General features: G+C 42.1%; 1 long non-coding RNA gene and 1 pseudogene across 11 annotated transcripts in view; one reads left to right on the top strand and one right to left on the bottom strand.

The window, feature by feature from the left end:
- Window positions 1-27,850, bottom strand: part of PDE4DIPP6 (PDE4DIP pseudogene 6) — a 30,041-nt pseudogene that overhangs the window by 840 nt on the left and 1,351 nt on the right. The window contains exons 1-8 of one of the 10 annotated variants that reach the window (NR_168366.1): window positions 16,711-16,893; window positions 13,942-14,044; window positions 11,100-11,335; window positions 7,551-7,644; window positions 7,029-7,080; window positions 6,043-6,357; window positions 3,715-3,871; window positions 2,860-2,978 (exon numbers count right to left, since the gene is read on the bottom strand). The product of NR_168366.1 is annotated as a PDE4DIP pseudogene 6, transcript variant 6 (transcript). Of the gene's footprint in view, window positions 1-2,859; window positions 2,979-3,714; window positions 3,872-6,042; window positions 6,358-7,028; window positions 7,081-7,517; window positions 7,645-9,512; window positions 9,643-11,099; window positions 11,336-13,941; window positions 14,045-16,710; window positions 16,894-27,850 lie in introns of those variants that run through there. The other 9 variants (NR_168368.1, NR_168365.1, NR_168369.1 and 6 more) reach the window with 9 other exon arrangements.
- Window positions 535-3,033, top strand: LOC124904400 (uncharacterized). The gene is made up of 2 exons (XR_007066563.1): window positions 535-668; window positions 2,795-3,033. It is a non-coding gene; the product is annotated as an uncharacterized LOC124904400 (long non-coding RNA).

The raw sequence follows: 27,850 nt of genomic DNA, 5'->3' as shown, positions 1-27,850 counted from the left end.
TTGCTTAGCCTCAAATGTGCACATTCAGAAATAGCTGTCATAAGAAAGAGAGGATAGTTTGCAGAGAAATAACCCTCCTAAGTCCACATCCTATTCCTTTTAAATAAGAGAGTGGTGCCAAGGGAAGGGCCCTAGAATGTCAAAGCCAACAGGGTGCTCAGATACCACCCAAGTACAGTTCCATCTTTGGCCATAAGGAGACAATGGTGTCAAGAGGCTAAGGCCATATGATCTGTAGGTGAAAAACCTGGGATGAGAATCAAGGCCTCAAACTTTTTCCACTACATCACAGATTTAGGAGCAGTTAGAGGGAAGGCTTCAATCTGGAGAACACTAACAGGCTCTAGAGATTATTGGGTCATGGTGGCTGGGACAGAAATAAGGATTCACAGAAAGATGTTTGTTGTCAATGTTCTTTTACAGTAAATGTTCTTTTGAGATTTTGCTTGATAAAAAGGTTGAGCAGAAGTGAAAAAAATTTTTTTCTTTTTTTCTTTCTTTTTCTTTTCTTTTTGCTTTTTTTTTTTGAAACAGTTTCGCTCTTGTTGCCCAGGCTGGAGTGCAATGGTGCAATCTTGGCTCACCACAACCTCCACCCCCAGGGTTCAAGCAATTCTGCCTCAGCCTCCCAAGTAGCTGTGATTACAGGCAGGCACCACCACACCCAGGTAATTTTTTTTTTTTTTGTATTTTTAGTAGAGATGGGGTTCCTCCATGTTGGTCAGGCTGATCTCAAACTCCCAACCTCAGGTGATCCTCCCAAAGTGCTGGGATTACAGGCTCAAGCCACCAAGCCTGGCCAAAAAAAATTTTTAATTGCAATTCTGAACAAGTTATGGGTTGTGAAATCAATATAGTGGACTGCTTGCTACTACAGGCTTTATTTAAATACTAGGAAGGTTGGATTACACATAATGAAAGATTTTTTAAAAACTGATCACAAAGAATTGTATATTTCTCACTGCATCTTGTGGTCAGATAAGTTTGAGAAACTGCTCTACATAGGCAAATTATAGGTTCAATCTATCCATCTACCTCTTTTTCTCTTCTCTTTTTTCCATGCTATGCAAACAAAACCATGGCGAGAGGAAGGAAAATTCCATCAATGGGTGGTGTTAAGCCTTTTCTATGAGGTAGCGGTACATTTGGGACACTTCTATGTTGGCGACTTGACATTCTAATAGATAGATGGTCCTTTTCATCTCTAGCCACATGTGAAAATTACTTGGGAGCTTTTTAAGACTACTAGTGGCTTCCACCCACCTGGAAGCATTTAAATCAGAATCTCTAGGTGTAGAGTCCAGGCACTTGTGTTAAAACCTCACCAGGCTTTATAATATGACAGAATGGTTTAAAGCTACTGAGTAGACCCACCCTATTTCCCACCATTCTCTTTGTTTCTCTTTCACCATAGGCTTCTTTCCCATGAGAAAGTAAAGATTTTAGTCTCTCTTTCCACAGTCTGAAGTAAATCACTATCTTTCTCAACTGGACTTCCAAGGCAAAGATTTCTTTCCATTTATCTATCTGGAGTTTTACAAAGTTGGCCTCTGGATTCCCTTTTCCCAAAGCTAATTCACCACAAAGGCACCCCTCAAGTCAAGGAGCTGGACTTTCATACACCTGCACCTGTCAATCATGGGTAAATAATTTGCAGGCAAGGTTGCTGGGTGCTGTGGGATTGACATAAACTCCCAGGTATTGCCAGCTCTGAGCCTCAGGCAAGCTTGTGACTAAATGACTCCAGTAGTCTGAGGACAGTCCTTACTCAGAAGGGTCTTTGGAAGCAAAAGCAGACATAGGCATGAGAGGGTAAAAAAAAAAAAAAAAAAAAAAAAAAAAAATCCCATGTGATCTTGGCTTATACCTAACAGAACTTGTGCAAGAATGGATATTAAGGTGGGTATTGTACACAGCAGAGCTTAGTAAATACCAAGTCTGGAGTTTGAGGGATAGGCTGAAGAGATTTTGCAGGTTTGTAAACATTTTTGCCAATTTGAACATACTTTTGTTTGCGTTTGGTTTTTCTCCTCAGTGGTAAGAGCTAGGCACAATAAGGTAGCTAGGATATTATATTTTCAATCAATAGATTTGTATTTTGCCAAGGACCAAGATGAACTATGACGATTTCAATTTTTTCATTCTTTATTTTCATCAGCTTGAAAATTAGGACTTTTGCTCCTTTTTTGGCTTATGGCACCTTTTTTGTTTTCACAATTTCTCAAAGACCAGTAAGTTAGAATCTAAATTATGATTGCTTATTCTATCAGTACCCTAGGGGAAAGTTGATTTAATCTTGACAAAATGTATTCAACTAAAACAATTGTTTTCTTTCTTCTTTCTTTCTTTCTTCTTTTTTTCTTGAGAGGGAGTCTTGCTCTGTCACCCAGGCTAGAGTGCAGTGGAGCAATCTTGGGTCACTGCAACCTCCGCCTCCCAGGTTGAAATGATTCTCCTGCCTCAGCCTCCTGAGTAGCTGGGACTACAGGTGCATGTCACCACGCCTAGCTAATTTTTGTATTTTTAGTAGAGATGGGGTTTCACCATGTTGTTCTCTTAAATCTTTTCACCTTTTAAGTTTGTCCTTCTCTTCTCCAATTTGCAATAGTGGAGTGTGGCTTCCACCGAAAAACTATATTTCTCAGAGCTACTTATTCCTGGAGCCTGGCAGTCTGGGGGCCTGGAGGGGGTGCGTCTAGAAAGCAGCCCTGTGTAAGTTGAGAATAACTATGACAATTGTGGGTTATAAGGTTTTGAGCAGCTCTGGCTTCCCCGTCCTCTTTTGTTTCTACAGTGGAGTGTGACAAGAGAAGGGACCCGTCTGAGAGTGACTTCATATTGTGGATTTTCACCGCTTACCTCTAGAAACTTGATTCAGGCAAGTCGGGGGAGTCTCCGGTGTTCTCTGAGAACTCTGTTTTCATTATACAGCTGGACGATGGAATCTATGATGTGCCTGTAGAGTTTAGAGGTGCATGCTGTTCCAGGAAATAATTACAATTTAGGCAAATTATACACGTTTGCTTAAGAGAATGCTTTCTGCATATTTCATGTTCTTCCTCTCTATCTTAGCCTAGGGAGAAAACCATGGGGACTCAGGGCTGGAACTTTAGTGCGACGGGGCAGAAGCTTAATTTTCACATGATTCTTAACAAATTCCAGCACATCACATGTATTATCATGTCCAATGGCTGCAATATGAAGGAGGCTTTTCCAAAATAGTTACTGCTTTGGTATGGGAAGGGACCTGGTTATGGTTCTTCCGGCCCAGCACAATGTTATGAAATGATGGCCTCTGTGTGAGAACAATCTAAGAGGAGGGGGGTTGGAGAGAACCACCTTGGGGTGGTAGAATGAAGAGTAACCGAGACATAAGGGAAGCTGATGAGTATGGCAGCAGAGGAGACTCTCATTCTGCTACATGAGGTGCTCAGAAACCTGGGTTCTACTGAATGCCAATCACATAAGAAGCAGAGAGACAGCAGGCAGTGTACAGCAGCAGATAGAAGACAGAAGACAGCCTAGGAATCACAAGAATGATTTTAGAGGTAGATACCTCTAAGTTGGAGGCAAATCTTTAAGCCTATTTATTTACCTATAAATAGGAATGATAGTAGCTGCCCTACCTCTCTAGCTGGGACATTTGTAATGAATAAGTGAAGTAAAGTATGTCAAAGTGCTTGAAATCTATAAAACTCTGCCCCAGTCACATGCCTTTAGAAAAATACATATTGCCAGAAGCACTGACTTGGGCCTCTCCCACCATTTTCTTCATCAAAGCTGCTGAGATGACATTCCAGCTTTTCTCACAGGCAGTTGTTGATGAAAAGGGTCTCCTTCAGGTGCTACCGCTGTCTCTGGATCTCATCTTCTGCAGCCATTCCACCAGGACATGGAATGAGACGGGAAATGAAGAATGCTGATCACTAAAGGGATAGTCAGGGGCCTCTCATCAAGATCCCTGCCTTTCACCATTCTTTTGCCAACTTCATCTTCTCATCAGGGAACATAAGGCAACTTCCTTTAAGAGCTTTTAAGGTTTCAAACAAAGCATGGCCAAGTGCTAAGCAAACTCCACAGGGATGCCTCCCATATGGAGATACAGGAAGTATAAGGCAGGTTGACAGGAGGTGGAAAAACACTGAAGGTTTCTGAATAGGGCTTTTCTAGCACTAGGAAAGATATGACCACCTCCTTGAGATGATTTATGGGTACTAGGGAATATCTTCCTCTCTACAAAACATCTCTCCTGAGCATCTTTTGTTGTTGTTGTTGTTTTTTGACAGTCTCATTCTGTCACTCAAGCTGGAGTGCAGAGGCACCATCTTGGCTCACTGCAAACTCCATCTCCCAGGTTCAAAGGATTCTCATGCCTCAGCCTCCCAAGTGGCTGAGACTACAGGCATGCACCACTATGCTTGGCTAATTTTTGCATTTTTAGTAGAGACGGGGTTTCAGCATGTTGGCCAGGCTGGTCTCAAACTCATGACCTCAAGTGATCCACCCACCTAGGCCTCACAAAGGGCTGGGATTATAGGTGTGAGCCACCATGCCCGGCCCTGAACATCTTTAACAGATGGTAAAGACCTTCTTCTGCACCTTATTGTGAAATTGGAAAGAGAAATAGGATGCCTTTGTCAGAGGATGGTATGAGTAATAAAAGCCACAAACTTACACCCATCACTGACAGAATGACAAGCCTAATATGGTTTATATTACTGTGAAAGCTCAATGAGTGAATTAATATAATCTCTTTCTATTGCATAGAAGAGTATATAAAGCATATAGTCCCCTAACAATCCAAACTTTTGCCCCCAAAGTAAAGTCAAACATTCAAGTAAGGGAGAGGAGATATAGGTCAAGGTTTTAATCTATACACACACCAGTGAGGTTACCAACCTAAAGGGCTCTTATATACCTAAAGAAGCTCCAATGGCTAGCGTGGAGTTATTCTGGGAAGAGGGCATGCTGGTGGCATTGCTGTTAGATTCATCCTTTTCTCCAGCAGATAGCCTCGTTGTTTATTTAGATTGAATTACAACACTGAGACTAAACTAACAGAGATCTTAAAAATACCTTGGTGCTGCACAAAGATTGAGAACCCTGGCTATTTACCAAAGGGTTGCCAAGATCAAAGTCTTGTCTTTATGGAAATCCCCTGATATTCTAGTAGTCAGATGGAAACTTATGGGAAAGCAAGCACCTGAGGGGAGATGGAGACTGGAGCTTGAAACCCAGGAACCATTATAGTTACACCTCCAAACATATGGAGAAGCCTGCCAACATTCTTGGGATGGCTAGAACAGCTTGGGAAAACTGTTCAGGAACTATAATTATCAAGAATATTTCAGGAAGGCTGGGTGTGGTGGCTCACATCTGTAATCCCAGCACCTTGGGAGGCAGGGGTGGGTGAATTGCTTGAGCTCAGGAGTTTGAGGCCAGCCTGGGCAACAAGGCAAGACCCTGTCTCTACCAAAAAGGCAAAAAAAATCCGGGAGTAGTGGCATGCATCTGTGGTCTCAGCCACTCAGGAGGCTGAGGCGGGAGGGTCATTTGACCCTGGGTTGTAGGTTGTGGTGAGCCGAGATCATGCCACTGCACTCTAGCCTGGGTGACAGAACAAGAGACCCTGTCTCAAAAAATATATATATTTCAGGAAAGATAAGATGTCCCATTTTAAAGAAGGAGATCTGTTAAGCGGATTTGTACATGTGTGGCAGTAGTGGCAGAGAGTCTGCCATAATCTCTTCACTCTCTTCATTCTGGCCAGCTTTGAGTATACTGGCTTGCAGATGCCAGTTGGGGCCAGAGGGACTGAGGTGAGGACAGGAACAGAGCAAATTACCTGACCCACCAGGGACCTGTACTTGAGACTTGATCCCAGAGCTGTGTTCAGCCTAATCACTTTTTTAAAGTGAATGTTTAGGGCCTGCCTGCAGAGAATAACATCTCTCAGTTTAGACAGAGGTGGTGAGCATGTAGAATGTAGGAGCTACTGAGAGATTGATGGAGCTTTATTTTTCTTATCAAAGGAGCACTCACTGGCTATATCCACAGCCGAGGGGCCTTCCTGTGCATCAAAGAGGAAGGCATTGCTGCTGCGAAGCTGGTGGGAGTCATGGCGGCTGGAATGGGTCAAATACTGTTTGAAGTCCCTCCAGGACTTTATCCATTTCTTCCTCCTTGATGTCCCTCCTGAGCCTGGTGGAGTAGGCAAGACAAGGGATGAAACCAAGGCAGCCTGGAACCACATAGCTAGTTCTGATCTGAAGCTCATGGAAGAGGCACCAAAACCAAAGGGACCATCACATCAAAGAGGACATATACAATCCACTTTTGACCGGGAGTAGAGTGTGCCTAGAGTTAGTATAGAAGTGAAAACAGCAAGTGATCAGTGCATTGACCTCATAACACACAGATAAGGCAGCAGACTCAACAGCTACTCTAAAATACACTCAGGGCACACAGGACACACAGAGACCCATACTATTGGCTTCAAAATGCTGTGTTCAAATTTTATTTACTATGATGTGGAGTGGTCCATTGAATACTGGCTCTTGAGACAACGCAACCTCCCAGGGCTTTTGCAGACTTTAGACCCCTAGCTCTAAATACTTGGTATGGTTTCAATTTATTTTTCAAGGTGAATTTCTAGGTATAAAATATCTGCCAACATAATTCAGGACAACTGTGCAGAAACCAGATAGGCATCTCACTTTGGTTTGTAACCCTATAGGTTTGAAAGATACAGAAACCAGGGATCCCTGGTTAGTTTACTTTTCAGTAAGACTGACTAGTTAACTAAGTGTGAGAAATTAGTAGGAACTAGGAACCAATACAAGAACTGCAAAGAGAACAGAGAACCATTTTTAAAAGGACACATTGTATAATCAGTCAACAAAAAAAGGAACAATCAGCAGTTTCTGCTTTTTCTATATCTGGGACCTTTAACCTCTTGAGTCCTTGCTTCTGGAATCCTCTCTAGATTTGGTCAGTCCATTATCAGCCCCTTCATCATATAGAGTTACCTAGGAGCCAGTGGCTTTTGCCTGTCTTCATTTTTCTTACCGTTGTGATTTTCTGCAAACCAAAATTAGAAAGAGCTAGTCAGAAATTAGGCAAGTCCCATTTCACACATTGCACACATGGGGCCTATATGATCAGGGACATAACACTTTACATGTGTGTTCAGAATACTCTGTGAGATTTATTGCAGGAGGCCTCAGGTGGTGTCTCTAGAGAAGTGGCCTGGCAGGCTTGCCTGAGCCCACTGGACAGGGTGTTCCTGATGTGGTGAATCATCACCATGACATCAGCTGCCTGAAGCAGAGCAAAAAGTTTAAAATGTCTTTTGTTCCCCAGCTCAAAGAATACTTGCCTGGCTGCCCTTTGGACTTCTCCAGTTGTAACCTTCCTTCCTGCCACAGGCTGTTTGCCAGACCATGACTGTTTGTCCCATAGCTACTCACACACAGAACCTGCTCCAGTCTCTGAGAGGACAAATAGCCCTGTCCTACCTCTACTCCAAAACCAGAGGACTGCCCAGGTGCCTTCAAGTCTGTCCCTGTTGTGCTTCCTCAGATGTTCTTGGGGGTAATTCTTTTTTTTTTCTTCTCAGTTTGTTGGTGAGAATTGGGGGTGATTCTGTGAAAAATATTCCGGTATAAATCAACTTTTCTAACACCAGCTTCTACTATATACAGAGCCTGAACTAACCCCAAAAGATTTGGACAGTCTATTGGGACCTGAAAATAAATAAATAAATAAATAACCCTGAAAGAGAAATACACTCATGAACATTAAGATACTACTTCAACTGATCTGTACAGCAGCCGTGGAATTATGATTTGACTCACTTTACAAATGAGGAAACAGAAATTCAGGAGGGATCAATCACTTGCACAAAGTTAGTAAATACAGTGCTGAGACTAGAGCCTAGGTAATTCTGATTCTTAGTCCATGGATCTTTCTATTCTAACAAGCTGCCTTCTGTCATACTGTTCTTTCTGACCACAAAGATGGAATGGAGACTTCTGCTTCTGGCCAAGTTGGAGTAATAGGGACTAGATTTGTCCTCCACCTTAAACAACTAAGAAACTGGAAAAAGTATTTTAAACTCTAGCTTCAACATTGGATATAGTGCAGTACAGTACATTGATCCCTGAGAGAGAGAAAATAGAAGAGATGAGCCCTATGATTGCTCCAGTTTGCTGCCTGAGTTTGTCAACTGCAGAGCAGGGAAGGAGGACCCAGGCAGAGCCTGGTAGTAAGTTTGAAGAAGTCAGGGTGGCTAGACATCACAGGACAGACTAGAGAATAGGTTGCTGCACAGAGAGAATGCCTTGGATATCTGTGTTCAATCTTCAGCTAAGTACTTATTAGTACATGTATTTGAGGAAATTATGCAAAGCAGGGCAAAGAACTTCCCAAAAGGAATAATCTCTGTAGCTCACACAGAGCTTGCAACACTTGGTGTTTCCATCAGCTAGTGTGAAAATCCCTTTTAATAGAGGGAGCATTGGTTAGAACAGGAGTCCCAAACCCCCAGCACTGGTCCATGGCCTGTTAGGAATGGGACCGCACAGCAGGAGGTGAGCAGCCAGCGAGAAAGCATTACCGCCTGAGCTCAGCCTCCTGTCAGATCAACGATGGCATTAGATTAGCATTGGAGCACAAACCCTATTGTGAACTGTACATGCCAGGGATCTAGGTTGCATGCTCCTTATGAGACTCTAACTAGTGCCTGATGATCTGAGGTGGAACAGTTTCATACTGAAACCACCCAATTCCCAACCCCTACCACCCCACCCCCACCTTGTCTGTGGAAAAATTGTCTTTCATGCAACCAGTCCCTGGTGCCAAATCTGTGGGAGATCACTGGCTTAGAATCTTCAAAAGAGTATTGCCCCCAATGTAAACTATGGACTTTGTGTGATAATGACATGTCAATGTAAGTTCATCAACTGTAACAAATGTGCCATTCTGGAGAGAGATGTTGATAGTCTAGGAGGCTATGCATGTGTGGAGGCAGGGGGTATATGGGAACTTTCTGTACTTCCTGCTCAATTTTGCTGTGAATCTGAAACTACTCTAAAAAATAAGGTCTATTTTCTTAAAGGTCATTTTGCCTCCATAGTGGGAAAGAAAATAGCAGTTGACTAATAGCTGCTCTTATCCTGCCTAAAAAAAATTAAAAAGCCAGCTTGGAAAGATGAAAATTGTTTTTAAGTAACTTTATTGTATACCAAAACAAAGCTCAAAGAATTTTAACACAAAATGCAAAAAAATCCAGCACCCAATAAGTTACAATGCTCAATGTCTAACCCCAAATAAAATAATGTTAGGAATGCAGAGAAACAGAAAACTGTAATCCATGATAAGAAGGGGGAAAAAAATCAATCTACTTAAACTGACTTAGAAAAGACACATCAGGTGAGAATTAAAAAACAATAAAAAGGACACAGATGAGAGAATCTGTAGATAAGCACATTGAAACAAATATAACTGTATACCTTGTATTAAAGAAGCTAGGCCAGTGTGGTGGCTCATGCTTGTAATCCCAGCACTTTGCCAGGCCAATGTGGGTCACATGAGGTCAGGAGTTTGAGATCGGCCTGGCCAATGTGGTGAAACCCCGTCTCTCTGAAAAATATGAAAATTAGCTGGGTGTGGAGGCATGTGCCTGTAATTCCAGCTACTCAGGAGGCTGAGGCACAGGAATCACTTGAACTCAGGAGGTGAAGGTTGCAGTGAGCCAAAATCTCACCACTGCACTTCAGCCTGGGCAACAGAGCGAGACTCTGTCTCAAAAAATAGAATAAAATAAAATAAAGAAGCTAGAGGAAAATATGAAATGATGAAGAGTTACATAGAAGACCTTAAAAAAAAGACATAAATTAAATTTAGATGAAAAATAAAGTCTGAGATGAAAATACACTGGATAGGATTAACAGCAGATTAGATGCTGCTGAAGAAAGATTAATCAATTCCAAGACATGGAAATAGAAAGAAACGGAGAGAAAGAAAAGATACAACAAAAATGAACAGACCATTAGTCAGCTGTGGTAAAATTTCAAAGCAGCTAATACAAATATAACTGGAGTCTTTAAAGGAGAAGATAGAGAGAAAGAATAGAATATACATTATATATATTTGCCGTATATATGCGAAATATAATATATTGTATATGCCATAGGTAAGACTATATATGTCATTATTATTCAAATTTGATGAGAACTATAAACATGCAGATGCAAGAAACTAAATAAAGTAGAACAATATGTAAAAGAGAAAACTATACAAGGTCTTATCTTAATCAAACTGCTTCAAACCAGTGATAAATAGAAAATCTCAAAAGCATCCAGAGAAAAAAGACATATTATGTACAGAGAAACAGAAATAAGAATTATGGCAGACTTCTTGTTGGAACAGTGTAAGCCAGAAGACAGCGGAATATCACTTTTCAAACACTTTTTTAAAACAAAAACTGTCAACTAGAATCCTACATCCAGTGAAAACATCTTCCAGAAATGAAGGTGAGTTCTTATGCTCATCAAGATGAAGTAATCCACTATACTCTACCTCTCTTACTGATTGAAACTAAGAACTCTCAGGCCAGGCACAGTGGCTCATATCTGTAATCCCAGCACTTTGGGAGTCCAAAGCAGGTGGATTACTTCAGCTCAGTAGTTCAAGACAAGCCTGGACAACATGGAGAAACCCTATCTCTACAAAAAATACAAACATTAGCCAGGTGTGGTGGCACACACCTGTAGTCCCAGCTACTTGGGAGGCTGAGGTGGGAAGATTGCTTGAGCCCAGGAGGCACAGATTGCAGTCAGCCAAGACCGTGTCACTGCACTCCAGCTTGGGTAAGAGAGCAAGATTCTGTCTCAAAATAAAAAACAAAACTTAGAATTCTTGAAAGAATATGAAAAGTGATTACCTGAGTGCTCTAAAGAGAAAACAATAGAATGCAGATTAAGGACCATAGTCAAAACTAAAATAAAATCTACAATGGAGATAAGTTTGCATTTTTTCTCCCCACTTTGGGACACTTGGGAGGAGCTAAGGGTCTTCAGAGCCTGTAGCCAACTTACCTGTGACAAGTTTTCTGACAAGGATCTCTGTCAGCTGGCTTCCTTGTACCATTTGCTCACAGAATCTCTGTCTCTGGTAGTAGGCAATGCCAGTGTTCCTGAGAAGGCCCTCAAAAGACTTGACTGTGTTCTTCACATGCTGGGTAAAAAGGTAGCAGACACCTCTCCCTTCCTGTGTCTTCTGTCGTAAGTGGGTCAGTTCTTCAGCCTGAGCCTGAATTAAGGGATCATGTATCCTAAGGTGGGAAAGAAGAGTAAAATGTATGAGGGAATGTAGTGAATAACAGGTTATAGAAGTTTCAGAGGAGAGATCTCTTAGAATCCCTGTAAGGAACTCCCAAGTTGAATTCTTTTTTTCTTTTTTTTTTGAGACAGGGTCTCACTCTGTTGCCCAAGCTGGAGTGCAGTGATGTGATCTTGGTTCACTGCAACCTCCACCTCTGCCTCCGCCTCCCAGGTTCAAGCAATTCTCTTGCCTCAGCCTTCCAAGTAGCTGGGACTACAGATGCCCACCACCATGCCAGGATAATTTATATATTTTTTGTAGAGATGGGGTTTTGCTATGTTGGCCAGGCTAGTCTTGAACTCCTGACCTGAAATGATTCATGCACCTCGGTGTCCCAAACTGCTGGGATTACAGGCATGAGCCACTGCACCTGGCCCAAGATGAATTCCTGTACAAGTTGTGTGACTTGCCTGTGGCAGAAGGAATGAAGAGGCAGCCTTGGGTTTGTCTGTTATTTTACTAAATTTCCTTTAAAAAGATGCCCCTTTGGTTCCCCACTTTAGCCCAAGTATCTTTTCATATGCAGTAACTGGCAGAAAAAAAAAAAAAAAAAAAAAAAAGCCAAGTTCAAAACTGTTGGGCCGGTATCTCTAGTATTAATTGAAAGTTAAAAAGAAAAATCAGTGAAAAGGTCAAGAGGGGCAGTGTTCTTCTGAATGACATGAAGATAGACTATAATCAGTAAGAAGGCAGTTAAAACTAAAGTTCTGGCCGGGCACAGTGGCTCACGCCTGTAATCTCAGCACTTTGGGAGGCCAAGGCAGGCAGATCACCTTAGGTCAGGAGTTTTGAGACCAGCCTGGCCAACATGGCGAAACCCCATCTCTACTAAAAATACAAAAATTAGCTGGTGTGGTGGTGTGCACCTATACTCTCAACTGCTGGGGAGGCTGACCTAGGAGGATCACTTGAACCTGGGAGGTGGAGGTTGCAGTGAGCTGAGATCACACCACTGCACTCTAGCCTGGGCAACAGGGTAAGACTCCATCTCAAAAAAAGAAAAAAAGTAAAGTTCTGAGTAGTAATTTCATTACTCTGTGGGGATTTATTTTTTTTCTAATTATTGTTTAAATATTTCTCATGGTGATATGGTTTGGCTCTGTGTCCCCACTCAAATCTCATGTTGGATTGTAATCCAACCAGGGACCTGCTGGATAGTGACTGGACCATGGTGGTGGATTTCCCCCTTGCTGTTCTCATGATAGTGAGTGAGTTCTCATGAGGTCTGGTCGTTTGAAAGTGTAGCACCTCCCTCTTTGCTCTCTCCCTCTCTCCTGCTCTGGCCATGTGAAGACCATGCCTCCTTCCCCTTTGACTTCTGCAATGATTGTAAGTTTTCTGAGGCCTGCCCAGAAGCAGAAGCCTGTACAGCCCACAGAACCATGAGCCGATTAAACCTCTTTTCTTTATAAATCACCAATCTCAGATATATGTTTATAGCAGTGTCAGAGTAGACTAATACACATGGGTTCCAATGTAGAGTGTGAGCTCTGTGAGTCTAAAGATAGTGCTACCTATTACCCAACTTACAGCACCCGGTAGTATGTACACATACAAGTAGTTATTCAGTTAATGTTTAGAACCATGTAATCCCAGAGCTAGACTGAACATTTACAGTCATCTAACCCATCTAATGCTTGAATTTTCTCCCCACCAGTCTTCTAAGTAGTTATCTGCAGGTCCTCTTTCAAACTCTATTTCTTAGAGTTACTAGAAAGTGTCAGGGGAAGTAAAGACATACTGGGGAGAAATAGGGGCTCCAGACCTATCCCACCTTCAATCAAATATCTCTGCTTTGGTGAGTTTTAGAAATTTGAGCTTCTATGATTTCATTTCAACAAAGGATTAAAAGAAGTTTCGAATGCTACAATCTACCTTATGTCTGAAACCCTCTAAGGATAGTCAATGCTGGTCCTGAGCGAATTAATAATTCATTTTCCACACAACAGCTGCTCAATCATCTATCTACCCAATAGCCCTACCAGTTAATACTCCACCTAGTATAATACTTTTTTAAAAAGTTTGGAGGAGAAACATTGTTATCATGAAAGGCACTTTGGAAAGTTTGAAAATATCTCTTATAGAAAATATTAATGACAATCACCACATCTATAAATGGGAACAAATATAATAATTACAGAAAATAGTTGTTCAGAGTTTTATATGTGTTAGAGATGGTTCTAACTACTTGCAATTGTGCATTTAATCTTCATAACCCTCTGAGTAGATACTGTCAGTATTTGCATTTTATAAATGAGGTAGCCTAGGTTAATGACACGCAGAAAAGTGAAGTAAATTTGACCAAGGACACACAAATAGAAGCCACATTGCTAGTATTCCAATGCAGGCAGCTGTCTCCATTTTACTAATATGCTATTTAATGGAAAACCCTAGAGACCTAACTAGACCATAGCCTCATTGTGTCTTAGTCTAGTTCTGTGCCTGAGTCATACATTTCTGCCCTTCTCCTTGCACAAATTTGCTCTTTGTTCTACCAGCCTGAGCTGCCCTACTTCAAACAGTATTTATGCACTTCCCACAGAGGTACCTCCTTACCGGAGCCTTGCAGCTGACCTCGGCAATTCGGCCAGCTCCCTCTCCTGAAACTGCACCTCCTCCTCCAGCACAGATTCTATAAGGTCTTTGCACTCTTCACACTCTGAGAAAAGACAGACATGCCTGCATCATGGAAGGCTGGCCATGCTGCTGTGGTCACTGCCTGCAGAGCAGGAGGCAGGGTCTATCTCAAGGATAAAAGTATCCCCAGTACGAGGCTTTACACTGGGATTTCCATATCTTTATTCCTCAGTCTCTCAACTACTCCCTGTTTTAGAGATGAGGAAAGAAAAGCCCACAGGCTGATAAAATCACTTGACAAGATGATTCAACTGGAATGAGGCAGTCAGAATTCACATCCCCTGAGATCTGACGCCACATCTTTTTCTTTTCTTTTCTTTTTTTTTTTTTTTTTTTTTTGAGATGGAATCTCACTTTTTTGCCCAGGCTGGAGGGCAGTGGCACAATCTCGGCTCACTGCACCTCTGATTCCCAGGTTGTTCTCCTGCCTCAGCCTCCCAAGTAGCTGAGATTACAAGTGTGCCCCACCACACCCTGCTAGTTTTTGTATTTTCAGTAGAGACAGGGCTTCACCATGTTGGCCAGGCTGCTCTCAAACTCCTGACTGCAAATGATCCACCCACCTTGGCTTCCCAAAGTACTGGGATTGCAGTAAGTGAGCCAATGCACCCAGCCATGACTTCAAATCTTAAGGCCAATTTACCAAGCCTTACAGCCTCTTAAGTAAAACATGAACATAAGGGCATGAAATAATGACTTCCTGTGTGTTTGGGAAGATACTAAGAATGGTAGGACTGATGGCCCTCCTGTGTCAGGAGTTTCAATAATCCCAAAATATTTCAAAGATTTAAACATTTATCTGTATACAGCTGTGTAAAACTGTATATAGAGGAGAAAGATCCAAATGATATATGCCCAAAAGCTAGTAGGTGGTGTTTTAAAGGGAAAACCAACACATAGTGTTTGTCACGGTACTGTTGCAGTAGGTTTTTAAGAATTATCATCATATGATCGTCACCACCATCCAAAGAGGTAGTTCCTACTCTATTACCATTACAGATGAGAAAACTGAGGGACAGTGATGATAAGTTAGATTTGAACCCAGGAAATTTGGCCCTAGGGTATATGCTCTTTAATCACTGCACAATAATACCTTTATATTAGGGTCTTAGGTAATATCTTTCTTCTTCTCTAGCTTGAGAAATTTTTTTCCTACAATTATAATGAGTGAAGGGTTTTTTTTTTTAAACTAGTTTTTCCACACACCAAAGCTCATCTTTTCACTTCTTTAATAAGTGGGCTTTTGGCTTTACTTTTCTATGACAGTAAGTTAGACAGCAACTTTTAGCCACCCCCCACACAATGATGTATTTTAAAATAATTGTAGAAATTGGAAAACAAACTCAATTTCTATGTTAACCAGAATCCTCTTCTAATATCCCTGTTCCTCTCATGCCCTTGTTCCCACGTTTCCTTGTCATTACAGCTTCCCTTCCCTGACTATTAGTAACATGTTTGGGATTTTACAGTGGATTTAAAAATGTGAGAGCTAACTGTGGAGAGGAAGGGGCCAGCCCCTAACCTGGCCTGGCCTTCTATTGAGAATGGCAGTCTGTTCCACTTGGCCTTGTTCTCATTTTGGCCATATGTCTCATAGCTCTGATCCTGGATGTCCACCTGCAGTTGCTTGCTGTCTGTAAAGTTGATACTCAGAGAGAGACAGAAAGGGTGTTACAAAGTCTCTGATTTTTCTGGAAATACCCTCAATCTAACCAGAGCATGAGGAATGGCTTATCTGAACTTATGTGGGAAGAGAATCTTGATCCAGGTATCATAAAGATTTTTCTCCGTGTCTGCTATTGAAGTTTGCATCTCCACATATCTGTGACTCAGTTGAGAATAGGTAGTTTTAAGTTCCTTCAAGGCAGATAGGGTATACTATTACTTCTTTCATCCCTGATGCTGTTGGCACAGTGCTTTGCAAATGGGCGCTCTTAAAAAAGTTTAAATCGAATCCTGAGATGTTTTAACCAACAGTGATGTTACATGTTTGTAGAATCTGATATTCATTGCTGAGAGGGGAAAGACAGTTTCAGGCCTAAACCAAGGTTTTAGTCTCTATTCCTCACTACACTCGCCCTGCAAACTTTACACCTTTGTGCCTCAGTTTTTCTGTCCTTGGCAAATTGAGAGTAAAAGGCCCACTTCTACCTTTCTGGGAGTGTAGTTAGCATAAAATTAATTTTGATAGAGAATAAAGTCCGCAGTGTTTCATTTCACAGAGGAAAGATGGGCAATCATTTATCACTTTGGTGACCATGCCCCTTTGGGACCTACTATATTTCTGCAGGTGATTGGTCAGGGAGTAGGCAGTAGCTTTGGATGTCAGGAATTTCTCTGTGAGGTCTTGGAAGTTCTGTTTGCACTTTTCCAGTTCAGAGCGCAAGTACTGATTGGTTTCCAGGATGCTGATTTCTGCCCTTGGACCAAAACAAGTGGTGGCAGATACTGCCATGCTGTAGCTTGTTGAGGAAGTAGAATCAGAACCCAGACAAATAATAAATTAAAAACAAATGCATGGATTATGGTAATGGTTGCACTACTTGGGTAAATTACTAAAAATTATTCAACTGTACAATTATAATGGGTAAATTTTATAGTTTGTAAATTATACCTCAATAAAGTTTCTTTACATTAAACAAAGGATTTAAATGAGTCAAAAGAAAGCAGATCTGATTCATAACTTACTTTTGGGATAAATTTCATCAGCATCCCGCAACTCTGAGAATCCTTAGCCACAAAAACAAGACAAAGGTACCTAAGCTTAGACTCTAAGGTACTGTCTGTGGTTCAGGCTCTGATAGGAATGCCAGAGGTAAGACCCAGTGCCAGGTAATGGTCTGGAGTCACAATCAGAATTAGAAGGTGGGGGTGTCATGGAATGTTAGGATCTCTGCCTTCCAGGTGTCTAGGCCATGTGGAAACACAGGTCTCTTCTGAAGGTCACCACCAATGGAGACCACTGCCTCAACAAGTCAATCTCAGTATTTGTATACCCTTGTGACAATACCACAGGCCTATCTCTTTCTAAAATTCAACCATATTTTCATTGTTTATTATTGCAAATGCATAGAAAACATCAAGGAATACATATTTCCCCAAGTTCTATCACTGTCTTAATTACTATCATGAAGTCATTTTCTTCCTAATGAAAAATTTAACACTTTTAGATAGTCTTGGCATTCTTCTTTGGTTCTCCAGATTTTCACATCATTTATATTATAAGAAAAAAATCCTGAATATTCCTCTCAGTGTGTGAATAATTGATTTATATCGATTTAGAGGCCAGGTGCAGTGGTTCACACATGTAATCCCACCACTTTGGGAGACCAGGGTTGTTGGATCACTTGAGCTCAGGAGTTTGAGACCAACCTGGGCAGCACGACGAAACCCTGCCTCTACAAAAAAATTTAAAAAATTAGCCAGGCATAGGGCTAGGCACGGTGGCTCATGCCTGTAATTCCAGCACTTTGGGAGGCTGAGGCAGGCAGATCATGAGATCAGGAGATCGAGACCATCCTGGCTAACACGGTGAAACCTCGTCTCTACTAAAAATACAAAAAATTAGCCAGGTGTGGTGGCAGGTGCCTGTAGTCTCAGCTACTTGGGAGGCTGAGGCAGGATAATGGTGTGAACCCAGGAGGTGGAGCTTGCAGTGAGACATGATTGCTCACTGCAAGCTTGGGTCCAGGTGTGTTTTGCTGTAGTGAACCAAGATCATGCCACGGCACTCCATTCTGGATGACAAAGTGAGACCCTGTCTCAAAAAATAAAAACAAAATAAATAATAAAAGGATTTTGATCAATATCTTAATATACTTCTTGCTGCAAACCAATGTTATACTGACATCTTTTCCCCCACTGGGGAAGCATGTTAGTTTTTTGTTTTTTTGCTTTTTTTTAATAGAAAGGGTCTAGCTCTGCTGCTCAACCTGGAGTGCAATGGCATGATCACAGCTCACTGCAGCCTCAAACTCCGAGGCTTAAGTGATCCTCCTGCCTCAGCCTCCTGAATAGCTGGGACTGTAGGCACATGTCATCACACTCAGCTATTGTGTGCGTGTGTGTGTGTTTTTGTGTGTGTGTGTTTGTGTAGATGGGGTCTCACTATGTTGCCCAGGTGGGTCTCAAACTCCTGGGCCCAAGTTATTCTCACACTTTGGCCTCCCAAAGTATTGGAATTACAGGCATAAGCCACCACACCTGGCCCATGCTGGCTTTTCACTTAACTTGAGGACAAGCTTGATATTCATAACTCCTAACCCCACTCTCCTCTTCTATGTGTGGTTTGCTTAGTGTTATAATCTCTGTATACATATTTTGTGCTTGTCACTTATGATTTTCATTCTAACTCCACATGCTTTCTTTCCAATTTGTCACAATTGCTGAAATAATTTATGTATATCTCTTTAAATACATGTAGTTGCCACCTAATTTGGAATGACTTATAAACTGTTACTATTTTATGTGTTTGAAGCAGTTTTTATGGAACACTAATGATTTGCATTGGCCTGAGGATATATTCTCAGACAAAGCATGGTAAAAATCAAGTTAATGAGTCTGGTGGTTGGCGGTGATCAACAGTTTTCCTGTGCAATGGGGTTTAGTGGGATAGAAACTGAGGTTTTAAAGACAGGCATAGATAGGCAGAAGAGAAGTCATCCCCTGATGTAACTCTTCACTTCCTATGTATCAATTCCTCCCTGGTTTTTTGAGACTGAGATAGGGAGACTCTTATGGAATATCTGTCCTTTCCCTTCAGCTGCCTGACTTTCCTGGGCTACTGGCCTACACATGTGTAATCATGGTCACCTCCACATTCATGACAAACAGAAGGAAGCAGGACCAACAAACTGCATACCCTACATGCTAACCTGAAACTATAGTGTGTGATAGTATTAGTTTATGAGATATATCAGAAGTTATATGATTTTAGTCCTTTTAAATTTATTAAGATTTATTTTAAAAGCTAACATATGGTCTATTCTATAGAACATCCCGTGTGTACTTGAGAGGAAGTGTATTCTGTTTTTGTTGAGTGGAGTATTCTATAGATGTCTGGTAGGTTATGTTGTTTAAATCTTTTATTTCTTTATTGATCTTCTGTGTAGTTGCTGTATCCATTATTGAAAGTTGTGGTATTAAAGTCTCCATCTACTATTGTTAAATTGTCTATTTCTCCCTTCAATTCTGTCAGTTTTTGCTTCCTGTGTTTTGAGGCTCTATTAGATGCATGTGTATTTATAATTGTAATCTCTTCCTGATGGATTAACCCTTTTATCATTACAAAATAGCCCTCATTGTCTTCAGTAACTTTTTTTGTCTTAAAGTCTCTTGTTTATTTTGTCTGGTATTAGGATAGTTGCTACTGAAACACCAGAGGTTTGATTTAAGTCTTGCTGTTCACTGCACAGAAAGCCAATCACTGAGCCAACTAGCATTGCTAGGAAAGAAGGCTTTCATCAGGTACTACAACTTAGGAGATGGGAGATCAGTCTCAAATCCATCTTCCTGACCAATGAAAATTCAGGGTTTAGATAGCAGGGAAGAAATGGAACTACATGCAGGAAAACAGGAATTAGGGAGAGGTAAGAAAGAGGAATTGGTCAGCAGGAAGCAGGTGGTCACTTAGGCAATTTTGATGGGATAAGGGGTCTGATATTTCATTGTCCAGATGTGGTACTCTGGTAAATTTCAGTTCTTTGATACTATCTGGAGGGCCCAACGCTTGGTTTCCTGAGAAAGGAACTCAGATAATGCAAATGTAACTTTCTCAAATTTCAAGACTGAAAGGGTCAATTTCTATGTTTATTCAAAAGAAACCGTAAACATCAGTTCTATGGGACAATTGGGTTGGTTTAAAAGTCACTTCAGCTTTCTTATGGTTGCTAATTACATAATTATATTACATTGAATGGCAAAGGGATTTTGCAGATACAATTAACCTTAAAATGGGGAGATTATAAAGGTTGACTAATCTAATAACATGGGCCTTTAAAGTCTGGATCTAGAGGTCAGAGGTCAGCAAACTAGGAAGTCAGAGAGATCCAAAACGCGTTAGTGATTCAATGAGGAAGAAACTCTTCATTGCTGACTTTGAAGATGGTGAGAGTCACAAATAAATAAAGTCCTCAGTCCAACAACTTCATAATTAGTGCTACCTGCAAATATGGGCTAACAATATTTTTAAATGCATTTACAATATGTGGTGAACAGATTCACATTGTCTCTGCCTACTCTTCTCTTTTGCTTTGTCCCTGCATGCTATTATGTCTGTCTAGATGGGGGGACACAAACATCAGGGCTTTGTGCAGCCTTCTCTCCTTTCCTGGAATGCTATGGCTCTCTAGAGCCAGATAGCACTGCTGAAGGTGGCTGAGTACAGGCAACTGATGGTGTTAGAAGCCACAGGCCCTTGATTAATCCAGGCTCTAATCATCACCCACCTCATAGTCCTAAGAGTCCTCCTTATAGCTTCCTATCAGATTTATACAGATTATTACCCACAAACCTTGCTCTTCCTTGGACCCCTAAGGCCAGGGCTTCTAATATCTTCATCATTTTTGAGGTATCTAATAACTCTTCTTTCTGGAGTTTCAGTTACTTCATCCCCACTGCCGAGTGAAAAGTTACCAGATGACCAGCACAAAGTCTCATATGCAAATCAGGGCTAAACAGCGACTGGATGATATTTTGTCTAGATCAGCCATGGGTATTGTCAAATGTGACAAGAATATTATTTCTAAAAGTTCCACACTACAGAAACACACTAGAACTTACTTCCCACATTAAAAGACAACCTGGAGGAGTGGCTATTACATCTCAGGCCAAGCATTAATCTTTCCAGGATTACAACTTGGCTCCCAAAGTTGCCAAGCTATTGCTTAGACAAATTATTTAATCTCTGTTATACCAAAATTATTTCCAGGCCCCCACAATTTGCACCTGGCTGCTATACCTCTATGAAGACTAGAATTACCTATGAGTAAGAGTCCAAAATAAGCTTTCTAAATCAATTCAGACCTGTCTCACATACTTTTTGGTTTACAATTGATAACCATGAAGGAATTCTGAGTGGAGGTGCCCTGACCTTTGACAAATCTCCTATCTGTACTTGGTACCAGCTTGAGCTATTTTTATTGCTCAAACCAATAGGACAATTTGCTGAGGCCTCAGAGATCCACCCCCTCCAGAGAATCCCTGATTTCCCAAAATTTGATTGAGATCTAAGCTTTATTTTGCTGTACAACTCATTTTCTGGAGTTTTACTTGCTTCCAACAATGAAGGCAACTTTTCCTGCTTCCATGATGATGGAGAGCAGGCAATTCCTTTCTGGGGTTTCAGTTCACTTCTAACAGGGAAGGAGGGAAGGAGAGTTTGAGTTTTTTCCTGCTTCTAAGATGGTACAGAGCAGTCTTCAGCCTGGGCCCCATTCCTAGGTAAGTAACTGAACCTGTGTTTTGTCTTGGAAATTCTCCTAAATGATTAAAGTTATGATTAACAACCAGGCTGAGGCAAGAGAATGGCGTGAACCCGGGAGGTGGAGTTTGCTGTGAGCCGAGATCGCGCCACTGCACTCCAGCCTGGGCAACAGAGCGAGACTCTGTCTCAAAAAAAAATAAAAAATAAAAAAATAAAAAAGATTAACAACCAACTGATTATAATTTCTTCTTACCGTTAGAGTGCTAGGCAATCATATAAATTGTGCGATCACTAATTTTCTGAACTGTTTTTTGTTTTCTGTTTGTGTTTTTATTGTTGTTTCCTTCTTTTCCCCATTGGGTTTGACCAGTTCTATCTGACTTGATCAAATCCAAAGGAAAGTTCCAAATTATGGGGACAAGACCTCTGAATTGGATAAATCTCTGCAGAAAAAATAAATAAATAAATAATAAAAATTTAAAAAGAGGGAGAGCAGGGAAAGAAAAATAAATAAATAAATAAATAAATAAATAAATAAATAAATAAGCAGCCATCACGAAAATAAAGGTTTTCATTGGGCACGGTGGCTCACGCCTGTAATCCCAGCACTTTGGGAGGCCGAGGCAGGCAAATCATGAGGTCAGGAGATGGAGACCATCCTGGCTAACATGGTGAAACCCCGTCTCTACTAAAAATACAAAAAATTAGCCGGCTGTGGTGGCGGGTGCCTGTAGTCCCAGCTACTAGGGAGGCTGAGGCAGGACAATGGCTAAACCCGGGAGGCAGAGCTTGCAGTGAGCCGAGATGTCGCCATTGCACTCCAGCCTGGGCGACAGAGCGAGACTCCATCTCAGAAAGAAAAAAAGAAAGAAAGAAAGAAAGAAAAATGAGGAAGCTACTGATAGTCCAGTATGGTATACTGTGATAGATTGAAAAAAAAAGTGGTTATATTTTGCAGCTTCTCTCATCAAGAGAGTCTATTTCTCCTCTCTTTGAATCTTGAATTGGCCATATGACTTGCTTTGGGCAAATGTTGGTGCCTTCGCAAACCTGGCAGAAGAGAGGCTTGCACATGGGAGGATTACCTGCTTTTTTCTTCACTTGAAATCCTGAGGCCATGATCTGAAGATCCCCCAAAGCTAGCCTGCTAGAGAGATCACATGAAGAAAAAGATCCATGCATCCCACTTTTTCCAACCAATCCACCTATACCCCAGATGTGTGAGGCCATCCTAGACCATCCAGCCCCAAATGAATCAGCTTGGACTAGAAGAATTTCCAAGCCAACTCACAGAATCACTAAAAATAATAAATTATTGTTATTCTTTTTTTATTTTTTAAGAGACGAGATCTCAGTCTGTAGCCCAGGCTGGAGTGCAGTGGCATGATCTCGGCTCACTGCAACCTCAGCCTCCCGGGTTCATGCCATTCTCCTGCCTCAGCCTCCCTAGTAGCTGGGACTACAGGCGCCCGGCACCACGCCTGGCTAATTTTTGTATTTTTAGTAGAGACGGGGTTTCACCGTGTTAGCCAGGATCGTCTCGATCTCCTGACCTCATGACCTGCCCGCCTTGGCCTCCCAAAGTGCTGGGATTACAGGTGTGAGCCACCGCGCCCAGCCAATTATTGCTATTCTAAGTCAATAAGCTTGGGATGGTTTATTATACAGCAGAAGTGTATCAAAAGGGTGATGGTAGTTGCAGGAAATAAATATATACCTTTAATTGTATATGCATAAACATCTTTGGAATGATACCTCCAAAATACAAATTCCCATATTGAAAGAGCACACTGAGTACCCAGCATGGTGGATGGAAATAGATCATGAAGTTTCAAACTAATAGGAAGAGGTAGAAGATTCTATAGGCTTTTGGGAGGGGAGATGGGAGAAAAGTTTAAGGCAAATAACAAAGAATCAGAACGGCATCCATCTTCTCTATGGTGCTGATGTGCTCCAGTGTGTAACCATCAGGAACAAACCTATAGTCAAACCTGAGTATATTGGCTCATTGCAACAGAGGAGACAGCAAACACTATGGGGAAATTGTGGGACAATTCTTCCTTTGGGAATCTCGATATTTTTATCTAGAAAGTGAGAGAAATGGTTGCAAGACTAAACACATAATTGGTAAAGAATCAACAGTCAACACAAAAGTTAGCCAAGCATGGTTGGGCATGCCTGTAATCCCAGCTACTTGAGAGGCTGAGGGAGGAGAATCACTTGAACGCAGGAGGTGGAGGTTGCAGTGAGCTGAGATGACGGCCCTGCACTCCAGCCTGGGCAACAGAGACTGTCTCAAAAAAAAAAAAAAAAAAAAATGGCCTGGTGCAGTGGCTCATGCCTATAATCCCAACACTTTGGGAAGCTGAGCGGGGCGGGGGCGGATCACAAGGTCAGGAGTTCCAGACCAGCCTGGCCAATATGGTGAAACCCAGTCTCTACTAAAAGTACAAAAATTAGCTGGGTGTGGTGGCAGGTGCCTGTAGTCTCAGCTACTCGGAAGGTTGAGGCAGGAGAATCACTTGAACCCAGGAGGCAGAGGTTGCAGTGAGCTGAGATTGTGCCACTGCACTCCAGCCTGGTGACAGAGCAAGACTCCATCACAAAAAAATAAAAAATAAAATAATTAACCGTCACTATTAGTAGCTGGGATGTTTGATCATATTATGGTTTGAACAGTGTTCTTTTTATGCTCAAATATGATTGTGAAATAGTATTTCTTTCAGTTTAGTGAGGGGGTAACTTTGTCTGATATTGGTGTTGTGAAATTTTTAGTTTTAACCATACAACACCATGGCCTAGGTGTTTGTCAGACCAGCTCTAGCTCAGAGCAGAAAAGGCTTACCTTTCTCTTTCTCAGAAATGACTATGGAAAGCAGTAAACAACAAGGGCCGGGAGCTCTTGTTGTGGCTCAGGCCTGTAATCCCAGCACTTTGCAAAGCCAAGGGAGGCGGATCACTTGAGGTCAGGAGTTTGAAACTGTAGCAGGAGTCATAGACAAAATCCCTCAGACACCGGATTGTGGAAGGTAAGAGCTTTTTTCAGCTGGGAGCATCGGTAGACTCACATCCTAGAAACCGAGCTCCCCAAACAAGTAATTCTTGTCCCTTTTAAGGGCCCACAACTCTAAAGGGGCTGCATGGGGGGGGGGTCATGATCAACTGAGCAAGCGAGGGGTACGTGACTGGGGGCTGCATGTACTGGTAATCAGAATGAAACAGGACAGAAAAGGGAATTTCATAATGCTTTTTTATACAATGTCTGGAATTTACAGACAGCACAATTGGTGAGGTCAGCAGTTGAATTTTAACAACCAGGCCTGAAATGTGGCACCCAGTTGTCTGAGCGTGATTTTCACTTCTGCCCATTCTTTCAACCTCCACTTTTTCAGCAAACAAGAAATTAAGTGTAAGACAATATGAGGAGTGGTCGCTCTCAAAACCAGCTTGGCCAACATGGTGAAACCCCATCTCTACTAAAAATAAAAAAATTAGCCGGGCATGGTGGCAGGCACCTGTAGTCCCAGCTACTGGGGAGGCTGAGGCAGGAGAATCGCTTGAACCTGGGAGGTGGAGATTGCAGTGAGCCAAGATCCCACCACCACACTCCAGCCTGGGTGACAGAGCGAGGCGAGACTGTCACAAAAAAAAAAAAAGCAGTGCCTTCAAAAATCTCAGAGAGAAATTATTTCCACCTATCTTTTTGTATCTCTATCTAGTAAAATATCAATTAACTTTATGGGTATAAAAGACATTTTCAGACATGCAGTGTCTCAAAAAGTTTATTTCTAAGGTAACCACTTTATAGGAGGTCTTGAAGGATATGCATCATCAAAAGGAAGAAGTGAGTGAGGAATGCACCCCCTTGAGATCCATGAAGCAGGGGATCTAACAAGAGAGAGGTCATGGAAATCCCAAGATGGTGCAGTAAAGAGAGATATTATGATAACAGCTGTGAGATAAGCCTGAAGAGCAAGTCATCCAGAATGGAACATATAGAAATGTGCCAGGAAAAATTTCTTTCTTTCTTTTTTCTTTTTTATTTATTTTTATTTTTTGAGAAGGAGTCTCGCTCTTTTGCCCAGGCTGGAGTGCAATGGCATGATCTCGGCTCACTGCAACCTCTGCCTCCCGGGTTCAAGTGATTCTCCTGCCTCAGCTTCCCGAGTAGCTGGGATTACAGGTGCCTGCCAGCCTCAGCTTCCCAAGTAGCTGGGAGTACAGGCGCCCGCCACCATGCCTGACTAATTTTTATATTTTTATTAAAGACGGAGTTTCACCACCCTGGCCAGGCTGGTCTCGAACTCCTGACCTCAGGTGATCCACCTGCCTGGGCCTCTCAAAGTGCTGGGATTACAGGCGTGAGCCACCGCGCCTGGCTGCTCTTTTTTATAGACGAAGAAATTGAGGTACAGAAAATCCAGTAAGGTTTTAAAAGTCACGTCATGAATGAACCAAGATTTCAACCCAGAAATTGAGGCTTCACCACAAGTGAAGACTGGGGTTTTCTTGTTTTCAATTATTGGGAGTTTTGGATTTCCAGGAATGTGCAATTGTAAAAACCCAGCTTCAGGAGGTGATGAAATAGGTGCAGTGGCTCTGGTGTAAGCTCTGAAGCCCCAGGCTCAGGCTCTATTGAAAAATTACTTTTGCTGAAATATTCCTGTTTTTAGGAACTTCCATGGAACTTGAGCCTTCACGCAGCATATTTTGGCATCTGATTCAAAGCTAATAGAGGTCCGGAGGATTCCCAGGATTAAAGTCTTTAAACAGAAAGTGTGAATCTTGCCTAAGCAAAAGGTGCCATCCCTGGATGGGCTTGCACCACCAACCTTTCAGTTAACAGTCAAACGCGCTAACCGATTGCGCCACAGAGACTCCAATGGCTTGTGTCTTAAACTCATTTGCTGATACCAGAAATGGCTTTTTAACCTCTGGCTGCAGATAATCTCATGTATTTGATGCCTGTCCAATCCCGCGCACTCCAGAAACCCATAATACGGGAGACAATGAAGCCAAGAGTCGAGTCTTTGGGCACTTTGGACGTTCTACTCTGGCAGAGTCAGCTGGGGGACTCCAACGGCCAAAGGTCCACCTGCTCCTCACCGTCTGCTCTTCACTGCTTCCTCCGCCTGCTCTTCACCGTCTCAAAAGTCGCCGGCCCCTCTACAGGCGACAACTGCAGCTTCTCAGGCGAAAGTCACTCTCTTTCCCATTCTTAGCCCCGCTCACACCTTGCACTCACAGTCATTTCTGCCAGGCCTGGGCCAGCAGACGCGCGCGTGGGAAGGACCAGAACCCGTGGTGTCCTCACTGCGTCCCCCTCGGGTCCTCAGAGGTGGGATCCACAGGAAAGGGACCTGGAGTTTGCACAGGCTGCAGCCCTTCGCCCAGAGCCACCCTAGCACCTAGTAGGTGCCCAATAAATGCTCGGTGAAGGAAGGCATTCCACCGCAGGGTTTTAGGAGAACCATGAATTCCCAGGTGAAAATTAAGGGTTTAGTCCTACTAAGAAGTCTGGAATATAGAGACCTGAACTGTTTCTCAAAGGCAGCTGTTCTTGTATCCCCAGAGCCGGTTTAGAATCCAGCAAAGGCCCCTGCCCAGTGGATCCCACCTCTGGAGACCCGAGGATAGTGCGGTGGGGGGCACCGCGGGTTCTGGTCTTTCCCACGCTCACGTCCACCGGCCCAGGCCCAAAGGAAATGGCTGTGAGAGCAAGATGTAAAGATAGTTACAAATACCAGCTAGGGCCAGTGACAGTTGCAGAAATGAGGACTTGTAATAGTTAGGAGTATTTCTTCATTATTTTGAGATGAATACATTTGGTTATATGTTAACCAATACTTTTCTTGAGAATTCTCGTCTTCCATCATCCTCGCTATCATATTCATTAATAATTAACTTTTAGAAATCTCAATATTTAGGTTACAGGATAGCAAATATGGAATGTGATCTAGCTAAAAAAGGAGTGAACATCATTCAAAGACAAATAAAAGACTTTATCCTGTTGGGGAAAGGGTTGGCATATTTTCACTGAATGAGAAAAAGTATGATTTTCCTATTGTCTTTATCTGAACCTTAAGTATGGCTTTACAAGGAGGAAAAAGGAGGAAGAAGAGAAAGAAGAGGATGAGGAAGAGGAAGAAAAAAGGAGGAGGAGGAAGGTGCACATTGATGCCACTTTGAGAAGAAGTGGACTGTGGTGGATTTGTAATGTATCAGTTTTGCCAAGCTGAATGCACATTTCCCAGATTTGCCATCTTTAGATAGCTCTAGGTTAGCCTGGGCAACAGGAGACACTTGGAAGATAGAATTCGAGTGGCTGTTACACGCTTTTGTATACTGGGAAGGGCGTTGTTACAGCTCAGGCATGATCTTCATCTTCCCTGACCCTTGGACTGG

The sequence above is a fragment of the Homo sapiens genome, chromosome 1 (assembly GCF_000001405.40).
Source record: "Homo sapiens chromosome 1, GRCh38.p14 Primary Assembly".
Classification (NCBI taxonomy): domain Eukaryota; kingdom Metazoa; phylum Chordata; class Mammalia; order Primates; family Hominidae; genus Homo; species Homo sapiens.
This window is presented reverse-complemented; position numbering and strand designations above follow the sequence as displayed.